This window comes from Homo sapiens, chromosome 1 (assembly GCF_000001405.40).
Source record: "Homo sapiens chromosome 1, GRCh38.p14 Primary Assembly".
In the NCBI taxonomy this organism is placed as follows: Eukaryota; Metazoa; Chordata; class Mammalia; order Primates; family Hominidae; genus Homo; species Homo sapiens.
In genome coordinates, this window is record NC_000001.11 from 50325377 (window position 1) to 50332887 (window position 7511).

A 7511-nucleotide genomic window follows, 5' to 3' on the forward strand; every position below is an offset into this window, starting at 1 on the left:
CAACTCAAATGTCCACAGACAGGAGAATGGATAAAATAAATTGTATATTTATTTTGGTATATTATACAGCATTGTATATTATAATGGTATATTATACAGCATCGAAAATAAATGAACTACAGCTTTAAAAAAATAGATAAATCTTAGAAAAATACATTGGTAAAAACAAGACAGGTCCAGAAGACAACAAATATTATATCAATTTTACAAAGCTCAAAAACAAACTAAGCTAAACATGTATACTTAAGAATACATACATATGTGATAAAGCTTTTTTTAAGCAAGAAAATAATAAATACACAATTCACCCTCTTGGATGGAGTCTGAGGATTCAGTTAAAGGAGGAGCACATACCTCTTGTTGATAATGTTCCAATTCTTCAGTTGGGTTGTGGCTGATAGGCAGCCATGTTACTATTATGCTTCATAATTACATAAATAATACATATACTCTTTCGTATGTACCAAATATGATCTTAAAAAGATAACCCCTAGTACCCAGACTGTGGCCTCTAAATACCATTTCCCAGTAAACAAACACAAAGGTTCCTCAGAGAGGCAGATTGCAGTTCTGGGGCAGGAAATGTACAAAATGGTACATCTTGTCATTCTAGAAAGCAGGGAAGCTAGCAGAGACTACTGGGATAATAATCAAAAGGGCTCAGAAGCCAAGTTGAAGAGATTTCCATTGGCCAAAAACAGGATAATTTGAGTGTCAATAAGGATAAAAACTGAGCTTCTCCGAGAAAGCACCAAATGGTGGATGACGCCGGTGCAGCGGGGCGAGGGGGAGGCCCTGGGGACCCTGGGATGGGGAACTGCATTGGGTTCCGCGGAGGTTTCGGCAGTGGCATCCGGGGCCGGGGTCGCGGCCATGGACGTGGCTGGGGCTGAGACCGCGGAGCTCATGGAGGCAAGGCTGAGGATAAGAAGTGGATGCCCGTCACCAAGCTGGGCCACTTGGTCAAGGACATGAAGATCAAGTCCCTGGAGGAGATCTGTCTCTTCTCTCTGCCCATTAAGGAATCCGAGATCATTGACTTTCTCCTGGGGGCCTCTCTCAAGGAGGAGGTTTTGAAGATTATGCCGGCGCAGAAGCAGACCCGTGCTGGCCAGCGCATCAGGTTCAAGGCATTTGTTGCTATTGGGGACTACAATGGCCACGTCGGTCTGGGTGTTAAGTGCTCCAAGGAGGTGGCCACTGCCATCCGTGGAGCCATCATCCTGACCAAGCTCTCCATTGTCCTCGTGCGCAGAGGCTACTGGGGGAACAAGATCGGCAAGCCCCACACCGTCCCTTGCAAGGTGACAGGCTGCTGCAGCTCTGTGCTGGCGTGCCTCATCCCTCCACCCAGGGGCACTGGCATCGTCTCGGTGCCTGTGCCCAAGAAGTTGCTCATGATGGCTGGTATCGATGACTGCTACACCTCAGCCCGGGGCTGCACTGCCACCCTGGGCAACTTCACCAAGGCCACCTTTGATGCCATCTCTAAGACCTACAGCTACCTGACCCCCGACCTCTGGAAGGAGACTGTATTCACCAAGTCCCCCGATCAGGAATTCAATGACCACCTCGTCAAGACCCACGCCAGAGTCTCCATGCCGCGGACCCAGGCTCCAGCTGTGGCTACAACAAAGGTTTTTATATAAGAAAAATAAAGTGAATTAAGCCTGGGTTTTTATTTAAGAAAAATAAAGTGAATTAAGCCTGAAAAAAAAGGATAAAAACTGAAATGGATTGAAACATATCTCATGTATTTAAACCCATATGAACTCATTATGAGTTCATAATGATACAAAGTAATCTCATTGATTACCTTTGGATAATGCTAGAGAACAAATTCATTATTTTTAAAACTGAAAACAAATAGGGAGAATCAAGCATTTACCCTGCCTTCCCTGAATGAACAGTACTTCAGGCTAACCAAGTAGTTTATGAAAGGATGTTACCCTTTATAAAAGTCCAGCTAACAAACAAAAAAATGATAAACGATTACAGCTAAGTGCAGGGGCTCACACCTGTAATCCCAGCACTTCGGGAGGCCAAGGTGGGCAGATCGCTTGAGCCCAGGAGTTCGAAACCAGCCTGGGCAACATGGGGAAACCTCATCTCTACAAAAAATACAAAAAATTAGCTTGCCTTGGTGGTGCATGCCTGTAGTCTCAGCTACTCGGGAGATTGAGGTAGGAGGATCACGTGAGCTGGGAAGTCGAGGCTGCAGTGAGCCGTGATCATGCCACTGCATTGGCGCAAGACTGTCTCAAAATAAATAAATAAATAAATAAATAAATATTACTAATATGCAAATTCTGAAGAAATAATGGATCTAGTCAGTAATCATCAACGGCTGCTAATAACAAAAAGAGAGATGACAATTAGGCAGTTTGTGCTCCTTGGTAAAAGTTTGCAGCACCACCTCCAAGGCGTTCTTGCCAAAAATCAAATCTGAATCTGATGAGACCTCTAGATGCAACTAGTGATATACAGGAAACTCAGGGAACAGATGAACACATTAAACACCACCATGGGATTCATTCAGCAAAATCCAAATGTGGAAAATGGATAAACAACCCAGTTTCTTCAATAAATACACAGCTGAGGAAAAATAAGAAGAGGGATGAGCATATACATTAAAAACAAATAAAGACACTATGAGCCAATTGCAACATATGAAATTATTGGGATCCTGAATCAAACAAATTGTAAAACAATAAAATAAAATTATAAGTTAACCTAGGAAGTTTAAACACTATATATTTCATAATATTAGGGAATTTTTTATTATTTTTAGGTATGGTAATGATATTATAATTATATATTTTAATGCATCATTATATTGATAGATGTGATGATATGCTGTTTGGGTTTTGTTTCAAAACAACCTGGAGGCAGGTTAGGATGAGAATAGTGAGCAGCAGCAGGTGAAACAAGATTGGCCACGGGCTGATAACTGTTGAAACTCGCTGACAGGTACATTGGGTTCATCATGTTATTCTCTCTATTGTTGTATAAGTTTGAATTTTCCATAATAAAACATTTTTTAGAGAGCAGAGACAAAATAAAAATATTTCCAAACAACAACAAAAGAGAGATAATGAAGAAGTCGCAATTGTTCAGATGGAGGCCAGTGATGCCATGCAGACAGAGCAGAAGCAGCCTGGAAATGCTGATTCTGAAATGCCACACACCGTTGTTTAAATATCCAACCAGAAATCAGTGTGTCTTGGAAAGATCATCTCTGGGTCAGCAAAGAAAAACATCAAAACTAAACAAACAAACAAGTTCCGACACTGCCATGGAGATCCTTTCCTTATGCTTTTTATCCTGGAAAGTGGTTGCTTATCTCTCCCTTGTGTTTCCTGTCCATAAGCCAGATCTGCTTCTGTGACAGTTTCCCCAGTCCCATGGTGACTCAAATGTGATGCAGCAGTCGATACCTTGGAAACCACTGGAAAAGGGAGGAGACCCTGATGGGGGTCCCAGAATGCTTCTCAGATTAAACGACTTCACTTCTCCTGCCAGAGAGTAACTGAAGCCTACAGAGCTGAGGTCACTCACTAGTGCCCAGTAGAGCCACCTGAGAAAGCAGGGAATGGAGAGTCAGTCAGAGGACCCTGCAGCTGAGCCCAGCCCTGCACTCCCTGGGCAAGTGACCCTAGAAAGCCTTTGATTCCTCATTTGTAAGGTGGGGCCTGCAGTCACACATGCATCACACAGCAACATGCAAGCACACATGGCATGCAAACTCCTGAGCACGTTACAATTCCTGGATGGTGGTTATTTATTATTTAGACAATTCAAGCCTGGTGCCTCCTACCCAGGGCCATTCTACAGTGCCATCACCAACAACAGACATGACCTGAGCATCTACTCAATACCAAACATGAGTCTTCTCTCCTTTCTTTCCTGGTCTTGTGTGAGACACTATCATAGTCTTCTCCTTGCTAATGAATCCTGCCCCAAAATAGCCTGGGAACTGAGTCTCCACTACCCGAAGAGGTGCCAGGATGAGCACAGACCATGGCCTCTGCCTTATATTGGGCTTCCTAGAGACAGACTCTGGAACTAAGAGTTGTGTGCAGAAGGCTCATTGGAGAGTGCTCTTTGGAGTCGCACCTGCAGCTGGGCATGGGGCCAAGCTGACTCATAATGAATTACAACATCTCAGTCTATCCTCTATGGAACTTTGGAGCTAGGGTGGCCCCTCAGAATTGTCTCAAGTTGGGGAAAGAGGGTTGGGCTTTTATATCCCTGCCTCAGCCAATCATGGTCACAGCCACCCCTGAAGGGAAGAGTATGCTAGAGTGAGGCAGTTCCCATAGCCAATGGCAATTTCCAGTGGGCTGCCACAGGACTAGCCAGCAACCAAAATCCCCAGCAGGTGGCGGTTGCTGTGTCGACCCTGGAGAGGGGATCTAGACAGAAACACCACAGTATCCACTACAACCTCAGAGAGACCTGAGTTTCAAACTTGCTTCTGTCAGTTACAGCTTTGTCACCTTTGTGGAGATCTGCTGCTTACTGGATATTGGGAGTCTTAAATAAAAAAGACTGGATAAAATTGTCTGGATAAAAATGAATTGGATAAAAATTGAACTTTAAGGCTTAACTTCTTGCCTTCTCTATACTCTCTCCCCTTAAAATGACAGGAAAAGAGAAGATATAAACCCATAAGGACAGGAAGAAAGGAAAAGGAGTCATTTATGGATGAGAGAGTTCAACAAATTTCTATAAGATTAAAGGGAGATGGAGGTGTGAGTGGTAGAAGCCACAACACAACCTAAGCTTTCATGATCCACCAACACTGGGTGAGCATTCTCAGGGGAGCCACACTCGCCAGTCTCTCTACAAACATTATGGGCTGAAAACCTCGTCAGGTAGGCTGTTCCTTCCAATGCCCGAATACATCTCTTCCAGTTAATCTGTCTGCTTTCCCAGAAACAATTGCTTATTCCCAAACTTGTTTATGCCAGTGGCACTTGCTTTTGTAATTATGTGATTCCATTTAATATTAATAAGCCAATAAAATATGGTTGTAAAAAGGGAGTTGTTTTATGAAAAACTATGTTGGACACTTTGAAAGACTCAATGAAAGCAGACTGCCATTTAAGAAAAAATGTTTATCAGAGTTACAGACAAGCAGTTGTAATAGACTTGGAGGAAATCACATAAATCTAGAAGGAATCTGTACTCAGATTGTTCCATAAGCGCCTTTTAAGTTTTAGTTGCACAATAAAGGTGAACCTGGAAACGGTAGACAATGTTTTATGCATTGGGATTTGTGCAAGAAAGACCTTATAGAATTCCAACTAACAGGTCCATACTCAAAGAAAATGGAATAGACATCAGTATGTTTTCAGTCAAAATAAAATAAAATCATTTTTAATGATTTATTGCTTGAAACAATTTTTTTTGATTAGTCAACTGGTTTCTACTGAGTTAGATAAGACCTGCAGAAGATGTACCAATGAGAAGAAAGGCAACTGCCTGTAGAGGGGGAAAAGGGCATGAGATTTGAAGGCCAGAAAGGGCTGAAAACAGCAGGATTAACTGAGAATCTGCTTAGGGAACAGCCAGATCCCCCTGCCCCAGCCGTCTTCCCACTCTATAAAAAACATGGCAGTGACTCCAGACCTATCACTATATGCCAGGTTAAAAACTTTACATAAATAAACTCAACAACCCATGCAGTACTATTCTTATTAGGCCTAATTTACAGATAGGAAACAGGCAGAGAAAGATTAAGTGACTTGTCCATGGTCATATAGCTAGAAAGTGGCAGAGTTGAGATTCAAACCCAAGTGATCTGACTCCAGAATCCATCCTCTTCACCACATCCATCCTACCTTACTGAAGAAACAGGGCAGTCCCAAAGAAAAGAACTCCCCTTTTTTGATATTTATGTGTCCCCCCCACAAAACAAAAGGCCAAGTCCTGTCTGGTCCACCCAGAGGGAAATCAGCCCCATCTGCCTTCACAGACATCCAATGCCAGTCAACTTCTTGGACACTTATCCTTAACTATGGACAAAAGCCAAGGACCAGTAAAGATTAAAGAAGCCTCCAACCAACAGGAGGAGAGATGCAGAACCACAGAGAGACCACAATAAAGCAACCAAACAAAAGAGGGAAGCTGGAGGAGACAGAGATAAGTCAGCAAACCGGAGGGAAAAAAATCACTATTGATATCCTCAGAGAGATAAATACAGAGGCTGTATCTATGTTGTGGGGTGGGGGGAAGGAAGAACAGAGAATGAACAAGTATGATAGCTGAAATTAAAAATTCAGTAGAATGGTTGGGACATATATATAACGAAATAGCCTAGAGAGTAGAAGAGAAAGACAAGCAGAAGGGAAATACAGAAAAGTGAAAAGACACAGGAAAAGCAGGGCTGGAGGCCCAAGCTCCAACTCGCAGGAGTTGTGGAGAGCAAGCAGACAGAAGACTACTAAGGAAAAATAAAGTTTCACAGGACTAAAAGACAAGTTTCCACATTGAAAAGGGCCACCCAGAGCCTAGCACAACGAATGATAAAAGCCACCACGTGACAAGTTTTGTGAAATTCCAGAATTCCAAAGATTAAAAAAAAATCCTCAAAAACAGCCAGAGAGAAAGAAAAGCTGCACATAAGGAACATGAATCAGAAGGCATGAAGCTTCTCAAGGGTCACTCTAGGTGTTCGAGACAGTGCAAGGCACCCATGTATAAAGGAGAATGATTTCCAACCCAGAATTCTATGCTTAGCTGAATTATTGATCAAGTGCAAGGGCAGAATACGGAAAAGTCCACATGGATGAAAATTCCCCCACCCCTGCCCAATTTCTTAGGAAGCAATTAAAGTTTTCAAAAGAAGGGAGCAAACCAATAGAGACAGAGGACCATGAAATGATCCTGGAGAGACACCCTTGGACCAGAGGGTTCCTGCAGACAGCTGGGTAGTGCAGTTTGGGAGGGAGCATTCCTCAAGGCAGAATACCGAACATGACAGAGGAGGTTTTGTCGGGAAGCTATAGGATGAGAAGCCGTGGCAGTTTTGATACAGGTTTTGGGAAAACTAACAGCTACATTTTCTTAAAAGGAATGCTGATCACTGAATTACCTAAAAATAGTGCTTCAGATATACCGGGCATGCGCATGGGGCTGGAAGACAGCTAATTCCTTATTTATTCTAACAGGGAGACAACAGATAAAGTCTAGCGTTGGTAAATTAAGAAATCGCAGCATGAGCATATTATTTTGAAGTATGAGGGTAAATGCCAGAAAATACAGGTAAAAGTGGCTAAAGTGGTTGCCATCAGAGTGCAGAACTGGGAGGATGGATTGGGTGAGGCAGGAGATGGCTGTTTTTCCATAAAGAAGAAGCCTTTCCATTTGCATCCAGCCTGGGCCTCAGATTTCCTGAAGCACTTTCACATACAATATGAATTGGTTTCCTCAAGAACCCCCCATTACAGAGACAGGAAGCAGAGGCCCGGACAGAACAGTGACCGCTCAAGGTCACGCAGCAAAGC

General features: G+C 43.0%; 1 pseudogene; it reads left to right on the plus strand.

Moving 5' to 3' along the window:
• On the plus strand, window positions 736-1673 carry RPS2P11 (ribosomal protein S2 pseudogene 11; annotated as a pseudogene).